The 14,958-nt window shown below is 49.3% G+C and overlaps 1 protein-coding gene and 1 pseudogene across 9 annotated transcripts in view; both read right to left on the reverse strand.

The window, feature by feature from the left end:
* Positions 1–14,738, reverse strand: part of AVIL (advillin) — a 21,355-nt gene extending 6,617 nt beyond the window's left edge. For 2 of the 9 annotated variants that reach the window (NM_006576.4, XM_047428110.1), the window contains exons 1-14: positions 14,633–14,738; positions 11,979–12,063; positions 10,156–10,230; positions 9,231–9,427; positions 7,023–7,131; positions 6,820–6,930; positions 6,353–6,555; positions 5,816–5,894; positions 5,601–5,699; positions 4,399–4,552; positions 4,198–4,298; positions 3,594–3,731; positions 3,335–3,493; positions 2,364–2,543 (exon numbers count right to left, since the gene is read on the reverse strand). In NM_006576.4, the coding sequence (NP_006567.3) occupies positions 2,364–2,543; positions 3,335–3,493; positions 3,594–3,731; positions 4,198–4,298; positions 4,399–4,552; positions 5,601–5,699; positions 5,816–5,894; positions 6,353–6,555; positions 6,820–6,930; positions 7,023–7,131; positions 9,231–9,427; positions 10,156–10,230; positions 11,979–12,044 (1,671 nt within the window). In that variant the 5' untranslated portion in view covers positions 12,045–12,063; positions 14,633–14,738. Of the gene's footprint in view, positions 1–2,363; positions 2,544–3,334; positions 3,494–3,593; positions 3,732–4,197; positions 4,299–4,398; positions 4,553–5,545; positions 5,730–5,815; positions 5,895–6,352; positions 6,556–6,819; positions 6,931–7,022; positions 7,132–9,230; positions 9,428–10,155; positions 10,231–11,260 lie in introns of those variants that run through there. The other 7 variants (XM_047428114.1, XM_047428115.1, XM_047428113.1 and 4 more) reach the window with 6 other exon arrangements.
* RNU6-1083P (RNA, U6 small nuclear 1083, pseudogene) lies at positions 2,158–2,264 on the reverse strand (annotated as a pseudogene).
* Positions 14,739–14,958: the final 220 nt, after the last annotated feature.

Consider the following 14,958-nt stretch of genomic DNA (forward strand, 5'->3'; position numbering starts at 1 on the left):
AAAATATACTCTTTTGACATACAATTCTAAGAATTTTCACAAGCAGAATCATGTTACTACCACCACAATAAAGGCACAGAACAGTTTCTTCCTCAGTCCGTCCCAAAATTATCTGGGGTGCGACCCCTTTGGAGTCAAAGCCTCCCTGAATCCTTAACCTCTGGTAACCATGAATCTATTCTCCATCACTATAGTTTTGCCTTTTCCAGAATGCTGTAAGTGGAGTCATACAATATTTAGCCTTTCAGTCTGGCTTCTTTCTCTTAGCAGAATGCATATGAGATCTCTGTTGGGTTTACCAGCGCGCTGCTCATCCCTTTTTATTGCTGAGAAGTATTCCATCATGTGGATGTACTACTGTTTGTTTATCCATTTTCCAGTGGGGTTGTTTCTGATTATGAATAAAGGTGCTATAAACATTTGTGCACAGGTTTTTCTGTGAAGATAGTTTTTTGTTTTACTTGAGTAAATACCCAGGAGTAGGATTGCTGGATCATACGGTAAGTGTATGTTTAACTTTGTAAGAAACTGTCAGCTGGGCGTGGTGGCTCCCTACTGTAATCCCAGCACTTTGGGAGGCTGAGGCAGGTGGATCACCTGAGGTCAGGAGTTCGAGAGCAGCCTGGGCAACATGGCGAAACCTCGTCTCTACTGAAAATACAATTAGCTGGGTGTGGTGGCACACGCCTGTAATCCCAGCTACTTGGGAGGCTGAGGCAGGAGAATCACTTGAACCCAGGAGGCAGAGGTTGCAGTGAGCCAAGATCGCGCCACTGCACTCCAGCCTGGGCGACAGAATGAGACTCTGTCTCAAAAAAAAAAACAAAAAAAAAACTGAAACTGTCGAAATGTTTTCCAGAAGCTGTACCATTTGCAATCCTGCCAACAATGCATGAAAATTCCTGTTGCTCTGCATCCTTGCTCATATTTTATGTTGTCAATTTTTTTAACCATTCTAATAGATGTGTAGTGGTTATCTCATTGATTTTGATTTGCATCTCCCTAGTGACTAATGATGTTAAGCATCTTTTCCTGTTCTTTTTTGTAAAATAATTTTAGTGCATTTTATTTTATTTTGAGAGGGAATCTTGCTCTGTTAGCCAGGCTGGAGTACAGTGGCGCAATCTCGGCTCACTGCAACCTCCACCTGCCAGGTTCAAGCAATTCTCCTGCCTCAGCCTCCGGAGTAGCTGGGACTACAGGCGTGCACCACCATGCCCAGCTAATTTTTTGTATTTTTAGTAGAGGCGGGGTTTCACCATGCTGGCCGGGCTGGTCTCAAACTCCTGACCTCAGGTGATCTGCCTGCCTCAGCCTCCCAAAGTGCTGGGATTACAGGCGTGAGCCACCGCGCCCGGCCTTAGTGCATTTTAATCCACTATTGCAATATGAATTGACATCATATTTTGTGTTTTTGTTCTGTATTAGTGCCTGTCTGTTAGAGTCCACCAAATTCACATGGGAAGATTGACTTATCCAGCCTCCATCTGCATAGAAGTTTATGAGATTTCTGCTAGGTGTAAGCAGGGCTTTCAGTGAGTTTTTTTTTTTTTTGAGATGGAGTTTCACTCTTGTTGCCCAGGCTGGAGTGCCATGGCGCGATCTCGGCTCACCGCAACCTCCGTCTACTGGGTTCAAGCGATTCTCCTGCCTCAGCCTCCCGAGTAGCTGGGACTACAGGCGCATGCTGCCACACCCGGCTAATTTTTTTTGTATTTTTAGTAGAGACGGGGTTTCACTGTGTTAGCCAGGATGGTCTCGTTCTCCTGACCTTGTGATCCTCCTGCCTCGGCCTCCCAAAGTGCTGGGATTACAAGTGTGAGCCACTGTGCCTGGCTTTTTTTTTTTTTTTTTTTTTTGAGACGGAGTCTCACTCTGTCGCCCAGGCTGGAGTACAGTGGTACAATCTCGGCTCACTGCAACCTCCGCCCCCTGGTTCAAGAGATTCTTCTGCCTCAGCCTCCTGAGTAGCTGGGACTATGGGCGTGTGCCACCATGCCCAGCTAATTTTTGTATTTTTAGTAGAGATGGGGTTTCACCATGTTGGCCAGGCTGGTCTCGAACTCCTGACCTCGTGATTTGCCTGCCTCAGCCTCCCAAAGTGCTAGGATTACAGGGATGAGCCACCGTGCCCAGCTTTTTTTTTTTTTTTTTTTTTTTAATATCAAACGCTTCATGAATTTGCATGCCATCCTTGCACAGGGACCATGCTAATCTTCTCTGTATCATTCCAGTTTTAGTATATGTGCTGCCAAAGCAAGCACTCCAGCCTACTCTAGGTCCTTTGACCTTGCTGACAGGAGGAGGGGAGTGCAGGTCTGGGCTCCGAGGGGCTGGTCTGACCCGGGGCCCAGCCATCCTACCTTGCCATACCACAGGTAGTGCTCTGCCTGAGTTCGCAGCAGAAAGACATCATTGGAGTTTAGGGAGGAGGCAAAGGCTGGAACTTCCACTGCTTTGGTGTTAGATTTGTCATTTCCATGAATTTGGAAGAGTCTTACTGGAGGGTCAGGCTCGGCATTTCCCTTCCTGGAAGTCCCACCCTAGAGAGAAGAAAAGCAGAGTCCAGATCTAAGGAGCACCATGTGAGCAGAGTGCTAGAGGAGCTGTTGTGGGAAACGTGAATGTTATAGTATTATGTTTGCCCTTGAGGAGCTTCTAGACTCACTGGAAAGGGTCAGGGTAAGCTGGAGTTATGTCACCGATAACAACAACTTTCATCCTGAGAACTTTATCATATTCCAGGCTCTGTGACTGGTGCTTACCTACATCATTTCATTGATCCTCATTATAACTCTTATGAAGTAGATGTTATTATTCCATAGTACAGATGAGGAAACTGAGACTTGGAAACTTGACTAGTAAATGACAAGGCTAGGACTTGACCCCAGACTTGTGTGATATCAAGCATGTGCCATTACGCATTGCTTGGTAGTGCTTCAGCCAGGGCTTCATGGAAGAAGTGGGACTTGAATTTGAAAGAGCACATCTGAAGCAGGAGGGGTATGGTATGGTACACGTGAGGTCTAATGAAGAGACCCACCTGACTGGAGTGGAGGGTGCAGGTTAGGGAGCTGAGGGTGGTGCACCTGCATAGGTAATATGGGTCAGGTTATGAAAGACCTTGAACATAATTTAGATAGTGGTTCAGACTTGAAGCCCTAGGCAGTTGGGATTCACTTGACTGTCTTAGAGGGATTAACCCCCTTCTTCCTCTGTCTAATCCAAGCCTGACTCCCTACCCCACCCCTCCTCTGCTCTCCAATAGTCCTGTGCTGGTTTGTTAGTTTGGAACGTTCCAGCTCATGGTGTAATTTTATCAGAGCATCCTCACCTCAAAGATAACTAGCTTCCCTTTGAAGATGGCCATGAAGTGGCGTGGCTCCGTTCCCATCCTGACTCGAACCTGCACAGCAGCCCCATCAAACTGCCGATCCACCTCCACTGCCTGGTATGCTGAGGCTGCCAGCTCATCCTGTGAGGCGTGGCGGCCCTGCAATGGTGAGAGGCCATGAAGGACCCATGCTCCCCGCCCCAGCCCAGTGGCCAGAGGACACATCAGGATCCAAAGCTGAAGCCTGTGCCAGGCCTACCTGCCAGATGTACAAGATGTGATGTGGCTTCCCATTTACCTCGTATGTGTAGAGGACCAGATAACAGTCTCCCCCATAAAAGAAGCCATACCATTGATACTCCACAGGGACCAGCTCCAGGTTCTCAATTCTCCAGACCTGGGCATAGAAGGAGACACCGTTTTCCAGAGATGGGGGTGCTGAGAGGGGCTAGGCCACACTAAAGAGAGAATCCAGGTGGGAAAGGTGCTGACGTTTACTCCATGTTCCCTTTCTCCCTCTGGTTCTCTCCCAGTGCTGAGGACTCATCACATTTGCATGATTTGAATCGTGAGATGAACTGGGCCATCCTGTTCAGGAGCATCCCATCATGGCTCGGTCTTTGCAAGGCTGAGCAATGATTTGAATATATCTTCCAGGTGAGATATTGATAGCACATTTGAGGATGTGCCTTTCACTACCCTGAAAACTCTACAGACTCACAAGACTCTTAAAGAAGACTCCTGAGGTGCCGGAGGGGAAAGGGAAAGCAAAGCAGACACAGAATCACCTGCACCCCTGCCCCCAGCAGGACAGCCATGAAGGCCAGTGCTGTCTGCCCTGACATTTGAATCATTGGGCTTACCTCAACTTTTCCGTTGCCATCATCGACCATTCTTTCCTGGGCAGCTACCTCTGGCTTGGTGTGTAGCAGAGTCACATCAAATTTATCCTGGAAAACTTTAGCTGTGGAGAAAGGGTTGGGAAAAGCCGAGTGAGTAAGAAGCATCTGTGCCTGCTTTTCTAGAGTCTTAGCAATGAGAGGATGATCTGGGGGCAGTCTCACCAATTTTACCAATGCTGAACGTTTTCCCCAGGCCCATGGTCTGGTCCTTTACTGACCACTTCTGGAACAGCTGCTTGAACATGGCCGACTCAGCACCATCGTTGACGGTCTCCACATTGGTGCTGCTGGGGTAGCTCTTCATCTTGATGAAGCCCTGCAGAGCCACCCATTCCCAAAGGCAGGTCAGTGGTGGAATACACTGAGTTCTTTGCTTGTCTGGTAATTCACCTCTATGAAGCCACATGATATAAGCGTCTCCCCTCTGGGAGTCAGAGTCAAATTCTAACTCACTTTTGTCTAAGGACCAAGGTACCTGCCTAAAAAAAAAATGACTGAGTGGAACATTTTTGGATCTGTTTATTGGCTTGCGGTGATTATGGTTGTTAATTTTTAGGATGATTATGCTGTGTTCTTTCAGTACTTTTGTCCTTACTGACTTTGCATCACATTTGTTTGCTCATTTATTGCTTCTGGCTTGGTTCATCTGCATGGATCTGCACAAATATAAGCTCCTTGAGGACAGGGCCATTAACCTTGATATGTGATATCCCCTTCAATAATAACAGCCACCTTTTATTCAGCAGGTACTGTGTGCCAAGAACTGTTCTGAGTGCTTTTTTTTTTTTTAGACAGAGTCTCGCTCTCACCTAGGCTGGAGTGCCGTGGCGTGATCTCGGCTCACTGCAGCCTCCCGGGTTCAAGTGATTTTCCTATCTCAGTGCCCTGCCAGGTAGCCTGGACTACCGGCATGCGCCACCATGCCTGGATAATTTTTTTTGTATCTTTAGTAGAGACAGGGTTTCACTATGTTGGCAGGCTGGTCTTGAACTCCTTACCTCAGGTGATCCACCTGCCTCGGCCTCCCAAAGTGCTGGGATTACAGGCGTGAGCCACTGCGCCCGGCCCTGAGTGCTTTACAAATGATATTTAATCCTCACAATAACCCTAGGAGATGGGTATGACCCCCATGTTAGATATGGGGAAACTGAGGCCCACAGGTGTTAAGTATGTCTTCCCCAGAGCACACAGCTGGAAAAGACAAAACCTGGATTTGAATCCCAGTTTGTCTGCCTGACTTTGCAGTCCATGTACGTAAGCACAATGTTATATGCTCAAATACCTAGCATGGCTCTGTGGAGTGACACACCTGAAGTGCTCTTAGCAGAATTATTTGAACAGTATTGCACATCTGTAGCTCCTACCAGCGCTTTAGACATGGCTGCCTGTTTTTCAGCCTTTGTGGCTCCTTTTCCTTTCCACACGTAGATTTTGGTTCCACTTTGGTCCAGGATGTAGCAGTCCTAAAGCAGCCAGAGATAGGTATGGTTGCTCAAGACCAGAAGGAAGATTTTGCACAGGGTCTGCTTCTGAAGCATGTCTGGCTACCCCAAGCTAAGTCCACCCAAACTCTACTTACATCATGGTTCAGTAAGTCCTGGACCAGAGGCCTTGTTGCTACCTCTGTGACTGCCAGCTGCCCAGCTGAATCTGAGATACTGGAGAAGGGGAGAGGTTAGCCTGTGCCTTTTCCTCTATAAAGCATCTTGTAGTCAACTAGATGTTGTTCTGGTTTGGTTTTAGTTTGGAGTTTCTAGGTAGAGTGTGACTGCCTAAGACAGCCATGACTTGAGTGAGGACAGGAATGTGCAGACTCTTTTCTTTGGTGGAGACTTTTGTTCATCTCTCTCCCAAACATTATCCCTTCCACATCCCTGGGCATGTGTAGGCTAGAGTAAAGGAAAGGTCTCCTCAAGAGATCAGGAGAGTTGCTAACAAGAACTGCCTCCTTGAGTGGGGGATCTCCAAGCTTTCTAGGAGCTGCATTTGAAAAGGACTAAGAAGAAAACCAGATGGCTACACCCAAAACAAGGAGCCAAGCAGAGGTGGCTGGTGTTCTAGGGGACACCTTCCCCCCAACCCCAGCTTCCAGCTAAAACCAGGTTGAGCTACTCACTGATACAACATGATAGTTGATTTCTGCTTCTGATCTATGATCTCATCAGGGACTGTAGGCTTGATAATGGAGCGTCGGCCAAGGGTGTCCTGAAGGACCTTCATCAGCTCTGGGCTGGCTGCCTCCTTGTCTCCCTCGATCACTCCTATTTTAGCACGGCCCCCTCGCTCCCTGTCTCGAATATCCTTTGCCAGAAGCATAGCCTGTCAAAGAAGCCCAAGGAAGCCCTCAGCTCCTCTGGGACCCCTTTCTGCCTGATGTCTTTGGGGAGAACAGCCTAGATCCCAGACACAGGAGTTACTTGGATGCTGAGGAGTCCAGGGTGAGTCACAAACTCACACACTTGGCCTGTCTCCAAGACAGATTCTACTCAAAGGCAGGGCTCCACCTTGATTCTTGGGGAAGAGCCAGCATGGAGGGAAGAAGAAAGAGGAACTTGAGAAAGTGCTAAGGCTAGGAAGCCATACCTTCAGGCGCTCCCCACTGTTGCTCTCTGGGCCATTCCATTGGATGATGACTTTCCCAAGGTCCAGCAAGAAGACATCACCTCGGTTGAAACTGTCCCAGCTCATTTCCACCTGTCGATGAGAGGTAAACATTGTTCAGGAGGAATTCTTAGGTGCCAGGTGGAGAAGCCCCGGGCCTGGGGCAGAGAGTGTGCAGGACTAACCTCGGTAGCCCTGATGTTTCTTTTCCCTTTCACATGTAGCAGCCGCTTCACGTCGTAGGTATTGGTCTCCACGTGCTTCATCCCAGAGGCGACACCCCCCTGCTTGTAGCTAAGGGAACATCCATTCAGTTATTTGAGTGCCTGCTATGTGCTAGGTTCTGGGGAGACAGTGGTGAATTACACAGATGCAGCCTCACTCATGTGATGACAGTACATCAGCAAGGTAAATACAGATGGTGGCAGCTGCTGCCCCACAAGTAGACTGGGTGAGTGACTTTCTGGTAGCGAGTTGGGGCAGTCTTCTCTGAAGAAATGACATTTGAACTGAGATACTACAAGGAAAATGAACCAATACCCAGAAGAATAGTGCTCCAGGCACTATAACAGTGTCCAGGAGACATCAGTGACAAAGACCCCTGCACCACAGAGGGCTTGTTTTGTTCCAGGAACTGTCTGAATGCCAGTGTGTTACTGGGAGAGGGATACAAGTTGTGCTGCAGCAGAAGCATTAATGACTCCACGGCCTTAAGACCACCTACCCTAGGAATCAGCTCACCCGCCCTGCACTCAGCCCAGCCCAGCCTCCGAGCCAGGGGTCCTGCACTTTAAGGGAATGCGGAAGGTAGCCCTGGAGCAGAGGGGCTCTGTCCTTGGGTTCCCCAGTGGCTCAGTGTGCTCCTCTGTGCCCAGAAGGGCCTCAGTCAGTGGAGACTGCTGACCTGCAAGAAGCTGATCTTGGCCCAGCCTCACAATTCTCAAGCTCATTGGAATTCCTCTTTTTGTTTTAATATCAGGGGCAAAGTTTTGAGTTAAACTTCTCAGTTGATGGAACATTATCATCAGCCTTCGCTCCCTCTCTAGTGTTATGTGTCTGTGCATTCCCTTTATCTGCCTGTCCTACTCCCATTCCTCTCCCCAATACGCTTCCATTCTAACTGTTGACCTTTTTATTTTCATTCTAGTAAACTGTGTCCCCCACCTTTTTTTTTAAAGACAGGGTCTCACTCTGTCACTCAGGCTAGAGTTCAATAGTGCAATCATGGCTCATTGCAGCCTTGACCTCCCGGGCTCAAGTGATCCTCATCAGGGACTGCAGGCTCGATAATTGAGGGCTCAATACCCTCAGCCCATGGAGTAGCTAGGACTATAGGAGTGCACCGCCATGCCTGGCTAGCTTTTTTACAAAATATTTTTTGTGGAGATGAGGGTCTTACTGTGTTGCCTAGGCTGATCTTGAACTCTTGGGCTCAAGCTATCCTCTTGCCTCAGCCTCCCAAAGTGCTGGGATTACAGGTGTGAGCCACCACGCCCAACCCATCCTGTTGTTTTGTGTGCATGTTTTTGTTTTGTTTTGTTTTGTTTGAGATGGTGTCTTGCTGTGTTGCGGGGCTGGAGGGCAGTGGCATGATCTCAGCTCAGTGCAACCTTCGCCTCCTGGGTTCAAATGATTCTCCTGCCTCAGCCTCCCGAGTAGCTGGGATTACAGGTGTGCACCAGCATGCCCGGCTAATTTTTGTATTATTAGTAGAGACGGGGTTTCACCATGTTGATCAGGCTGGTCTTGAACTCCTGACCTCGTGATCCGCCTGCCTCGGCCTCCCAAAGTGCTGGGATTACAGGCGTAAGCCACCATGCCTGGCCATGCGTGTGCTTTTTAAAACAGAAATTGGCATTCTGTTATATGTCTTAGTCTGTTTCTTACTTTGTGTGCTAAGCACCATGTTTGTGAGCTCTGTCCTTGTGTTAGGTGTGTATCTAATCTGTTGCTTCTGGCTACTGCATAATACTCCGTGGTGTGCATGTCCAGTCTCCGAGTGATGGACACCTACGTTGCCTGCAGCTTCCTAACATCATTAATGAGGCTGCTATGAACAGTCTGGTCCATGTGCCCTTATGGACCTGGATACGTGAGGATTTCTGTGAGTTACACATGCAGAAGTGGGATTTGCAAGTGGCACTGACTACTCTCCAGGATGCTGCGCTAGTCCACACTTCCATCAGCAGGGCACAAGGGCTCCTATTTCCCCATAGCCTTGCCAACACTTGGCACCTCCCAGCTGTTTAATCTGCTGCTCTAGTGGGTGGAAGTGACAGCTTTGTTTTGATTTGCATTTCTCTGATTACTTTCTTGATAATGCATGTTGGCCTTTTGGGTTTCCTCCTCTGTAAACTGCTGTTTCTGTCCTTGCTCTGTGCACCCCTACTCACATGATGCCCTGCTTGAAGTAGCCACGGAAAGTGTCTGACTCATGGTACTGGACCTCTCGGTGCTGCACAGGGCTGCCTCCCAGGTAGTCGTCCAGCTGTGTGGTATATATGGCTGCGCAGCTTTGCTCATCCTGGGAGGAGTCCTTCCCGATCCAGAAGTGGATGTCCTGGGATAGGAGACTGGCCACTCTCCGGGTCTGGGAGGTAGTCAGAGAGATCAGGTCAGAGGCCAGCTCACCTCCCCTTTGCTGCTGGCCCCTGTTATGGGGAGAATGCAGCACATGTGCATGCCCTTGGCAGACTGAGGGCCCTCTCTCCTGCAGTGGATGTGGGAGCTGCCCTGGCCCCCGAGCAGACCTGCGATCATGGCATAAACTTTGGCAGCCCAAATTCCTCCCCGCATTTGGGGAAAGTTGACAGCTTGTTGTTCCCCAAATAAATAGATACCAACGGGGATCTTTTCCCAGCCGGGTTGCAGGCTTACCTCACAGGTCCCCTTGGTCCCTTGCACTCACACAGCTGGCACAGTGCTCATCTGTACACCTGCACGACCCTGTCAGCACCGTTCATGTGAGTCTCCTCCATGAGAATAGCACTTTGAGGCTAGAGACAGGCCTTGCATTTATCAGGCCTTCTTCCACACCACTTTAATGTGGGGCCTAGGCCCGGGAGAAGTGCTGCTTGTGGGTGGCTCACTGAGGTTCAGACTGAGGGTCCTACCCCCATCCTCTTATGCAGCATTAAAAACCCAGGCTTAATGATGGCCTTTGATAGTCAGACTGGAGGTCTGCTCTGCATAGCACTGAGGAACCATTGAGACCGATACCAGGGACTGACTACCTTCCCTCACCAGCACATCTCCCAGTACAGCCCAAGAACTGGCCCCAGGGGAGAGGCTCACAGGAGTGGGGAGGAGGGTGCTCACCGAGAGGATGACGTAGCAGTCCCCCTCATAGAAGTTGCCGTGGGCGCTCACAGGCACCAGCGCCAGCTCCATTTTCTGGAAGGACAAGGGGTGGGTATAGGCTACATCCCCTCCCACCTCCCTTCCCCATGAGCCTCCCTCTCCTCTCTGTCATTCGGTGCAGGTGGTGGGGAGAAGGAGGGGAGATGTTCTCAATGACCTTACAGGATGTGAGGCTGCCAGCCACAGGGTTAACGTGGCCATCCCTCTGGCTTCTGTGAGCTCTGCTTGCATCACCCCGGATCTGAACCTTGGTCCCTATCCTGCTTTCCCTTGCCCTATTCTCCACTCTACTTCCCACCCGATCTCATCTCGCACTATTGTGGGAAACCTGTGAACCACCTCCAGCCCTTTGCTGGATATAAACGACCAAGTACAAACCCTTCTCTGAGCCGTTGTGCCAGCACCTCCAACGCTCTTCCCAACGCTGACCACTGGGTGCTGGCCCAGGCCCATGTAAGAAAGAACACTTGGATTCTGTGGGGCCGTGGGAGGTGGAGGATAACATTTGGAGAGTGCCAGCGGTCAGCAGGGCTCTGTGCCAAGTGTCTTATATTTGGAGTCTGGGTCAGGGCCCTGATTTATCACTGCATGTATGGCTTGGCCCTGGAGGACTGTTCACACAGCCTTGATGTAGATTTTCATCACACTCCCCAAGTGAGGGAAACTTGCGGCCATACTTGTGTGTGTTCTATGTAAAATGTGATAAATGTTAAATATACTGCAAATCTGGTAACCGTGTTTTAGTACTTGTTTTTTGTTTTTGTTTTTGTTTTTTTTGAGAGGGAGTCTCCCTGTGTCTCCCAGGCTGGAGTGCAGTGGCGCGATCTCGGCTCACTGCAAGCTCCGCCTCCCGGGTTCACGCCATTCTCCTGCCTCAGCCTCCTGAGTAGCTGGGACTATAGGCGCCTGCCACCATGCCCAGCTAATTTTTTGTATTTTTAGTAGAGGTGGGGTTTCACTGTGTTAGCCAGGATGGTCTCAATCTCCTGACTTCGTGATCCACCCGCCTCAGCCTCCCAGAGTGCTGGGATTACAGGCGTGAGCCACCGCACCCCGCCAGTACCTGTTAGTTTTTAAGGAAACTGGAAGCCTTCAAACAGTGGAAGTGACCTGGGACTCACAATCTCTGCGAGGCTTGCTGGAGAGCTGACTCCCCCTCCTGGTTGAGGATAGTGAAGTGAGGCATCATCGCTGGGTTTTAGGCAGCAGCAACTGACTGGGCTCAGGGCAGGGGTTGGGGGGAATCCTCGTATCTGGCAGGTGGAGCTACCCAGGCCAGGGTGGTTCCCAGCTATGGATTGCTGGAGCTCACAGCCGCACAGAGGGTCCCAAGCCCAAGAGGAGACGGGCTGAACAGCTCCTCATCTCTGCAGTGCCCCCTCACCTCTCCCCATATTTTGTAGGAGCCAGGGTGCCCCGTGGAAGACATGTTCCATTTCTCTGATGGAAGCTGCCAGGAGTCTGCTGAGTAGGTCCCACCTGTCTTTCCAGGGTGTTTCCTGCAAGTGCAGACTCACTGAGCAGGTGGCTGGCTAAAGGACAAGCCTGTTTTTGTCTGGAGCCCTGTTCTTCGGGGCTGAACATTTCCTCCACCTGCCAACCACCTGCTTTGAGCACCCAGGAGAGGTGAAGGATGGGAAATAGGTACTTTGATGCTGCCTCTCATTCTCCTCAAACCATAGGCTAAGGGGTGCTGGCGGGCTGTTGCCTAGCAGCCCCAGGCAGCCAGACTGCTTCCAGATGCCAGTGGTCACAAGTAAGGTGCCTCCAGCCCAGCTCACCTCTATTCTCCAGACAATGATCCCAGGGTCGTTGTCCACAGCCCTGAAGGCACTGGTCAGAGGCATGATGCTTGTCTTTCCAGGACTGAAACATCACAGAACAAGAGGGGAGATGATATCTCTTGCCATAGTGGGCATCAATCCAGTTTTTCTGCCGAGCTGCTTCCCAGTCTGTTGTCAGCCATCCTGCCACACCCTCATGGTGCATCCCTGCACCATTTCACAATGATGGGGGCAAGGACTTGTCCAAGTGCACATGGTGAGCCTGGCTGGCCTGGGGATTACCACCCATGAGTTCTGCTTCCCACCTGCCATTGCCCTTAAGAGCTCTGGTAATCGTCATGGTTATTTACCAAAGGGGTGATAAATATGTTAAGCCCTGTATTGATTCACTTTGCATATGTTATCTCTAATTTTCAGAAGGTGAGTTTCTTCATCTTACATTGTGTGAATCTGAGGTTTGCAAAGGCTGAATAACTTGTACAAGATCACACTCTAGAATGAAATCCTTATCTGATCCCCAAACCTGTGCTTCTAGCCACTTTGATGTACTACAACCCTTCCTAAACCAATCTAAGTTCAGTGGCATTTGGAAAGAAAAGCTAGTCAGAAAAAATATTTCCAAACTCAGTTGCCTTCTCTCACTCTCATTCCAATTCTTCCCAAGTTCCCTGCTTGCAAGGCCTTCTCCACAGTCAACTTTGACCTTCTCTTTGGCTTTTGTCCTTTTTTTTTTTTTTTTTTTTTTTTTAGAGTAAACTATTCTTAAACTCAAACAACCCTTCCTTCTTTTGTCACTACTATATTCCCTGTGCTTTCCAGATGCAAGGAAAGTAAAATGGCAGGGCTGGGCCTGGGACAAAGGGTTCTGGGTGCTAGCAGGGTGTGGCCTGGTCTGGCCTGCGGACAGATGGCTTCCTTTTTCCCTCCCACACAGACCCAAGCTTCTGTGTGGAAGCGTGAACCTCAGACACTTAGACGTCTCCAGTTCCTTCAGGATTGAGCAAGTCAGGGTGGGGAGAGGGGGGAAGTGGTAAAGATCTAAGTCTGTGTAGGTCGTGTACCATCTGTATTCAAGGAGCATCTTGGGTAATTAAGCACCTACCCATGTCCAAGGCCACGTAGAGGCTTTATAGAATTAAAATACCTGCTCTCAAGGAGCTTGAAATCTGATAACATGCATAATTAATGTAAAGCTAGATTAATTTCTCCCAAGAGGCAAAGGAAAAAGGATGGGGTTGATGGATTTATGTAAGATTTAAAAATTCACCCAGAAAGGACTGTATGCATTTTTGCTGTTTGGGGACATACTGTTTGTTAAGAGGAACATGTCTGACCATTGTTTTCTTGAACCTTGATGGACAAAGCCAAGTTTGGAGAGCATGCGCCATCTAGTATGGACTTTGGCAAAAAACCATAAAGCTCAAAGCAGACTCGCTTTGTCTACTGCTGTAGCAGGACTAAAGCAAGGCAATGGTGCGGAGCAGCCAGTGTTTGAGAATTTAATTTGATAACTTGTGCTGCCCCACCCTGTGCTGCTCAGAATTGCCAGGAAATATGGTGTTTGGGTTTTCTTCAGACCCTACGTAGCAGTCATTAAAGGCAAAAGCCATGAGCCAACTAGGGGAAGGGGACAAGGGCCACTGAATTCATTCCTTGGAGACAGAGAACTGTCACCCTGGTAAAAGCCAAACCAGCCGGCAGCAATTAGGACTGTGAGCCTCAGAGGCTGAAACCTGTCCCGTTTCCCAGCAGGAATTTAGGAATCAAGGAGCTCCCTGGGCCAGGCACCCCGAATGCGAGAGGATAAGCTCCAGGAAGGGACTTCCTGTCACACTGGAACACACAGAAAACACAGTTCTGACATCAAATCTCCCAAAGCTGGGTCTCTCCTTCTCCCTAAATCCTAATTCAGTATCCTTTGAGAGGACTGCAGAAACCCCTTGGGTGTGGGGCACAGTTTTGAAATGTCAGGTTAAAAGCCAGTGGCCTGTAATTCTCAGAGATGCCCTTTTGGACGGACCCTGAGCAGAGGAAGCTGTTTTTTGTTGTTGTTGTTTTTGAGACAGGGTCTTGCTCTGTCACCCAGGCTGGAGTGCAGTGGTACAATCACGGCTCACTGCAACCGCCACCTCCTGGGCTCAAGTGATCCTTCTGCCTCAGCCTCCTGAGAAGCTGAGACCACAGGTGTGCACCACCATGCTTGGCTTTTTTTTTTTTTTTTTTTTTTTTTTTTTTTGTAGAGACAGGGTCTCACTATGTTGCCCAGGATGGTCACAAGTTACAAACTCCTGGGCTCAAACAATCCTCATGCCCTGGCTTCCCAAAGTGTTGGGATTACAGGTGTAAGCCACCTCTCTGGGCCAGGAAGCTGGTTTTAACTCCTCCTGCCTTGCTCCATACCATCTTTCTCTAGGGATAGGTGAAAGGGGTCTGTCTTTCCCAGCTTTTGAAAATGTGCCCTATATGTTCAGCTGCCTCTAAGGGGTTCTTCTGAACAAGAAGTTTGCAAAACTGGCCAGCCAGACTCCTGGTTCATTTTAAAAGCCTCATCTCAGAAGACAAAGCCAAGGGACTCTCAAGCTCCTCTTCCTTTCATTTCTTCCTCATTCAGGAGGATTAACTGGCATGCCCCCGTAAATCAGAGACCTTACCTTGCCTTCTCGCTCACCAGCCTTCCCAGTTTCCCGGCGCGTAAGCAGCAGCAGTATTGAAGAACCACTCCAAAGCAGGAGGCTCCAGGTCCTGCTGCCTTAGCTTAGTAATGGCCGCAGAGATACTGGGTTATATTTGCTTGTGTTTGCATCTTAACCGCATTTTCCTAGTCCTGGCCAATCAGAGCCAACCTAGCACTGAGCTTGGCTTATTCAAACCAGAGGGAAAGCTTTATCTGTGCCTATTCAAAACAGCAAAACAGAAGAGCAGACTTTTAAAGGCTTCTTTGAACTCCAGCTCCACGCCCTGATCTAATTGATTTTTT

The sequence above is a fragment of the Homo sapiens genome, chromosome 12 (genome assembly GCF_000001405.40).
Source record: "Homo sapiens chromosome 12, GRCh38.p14 Primary Assembly".
Lineage (NCBI taxonomy): Eukaryota > Metazoa > Chordata > Mammalia > Primates > Hominidae > Homo > Homo sapiens.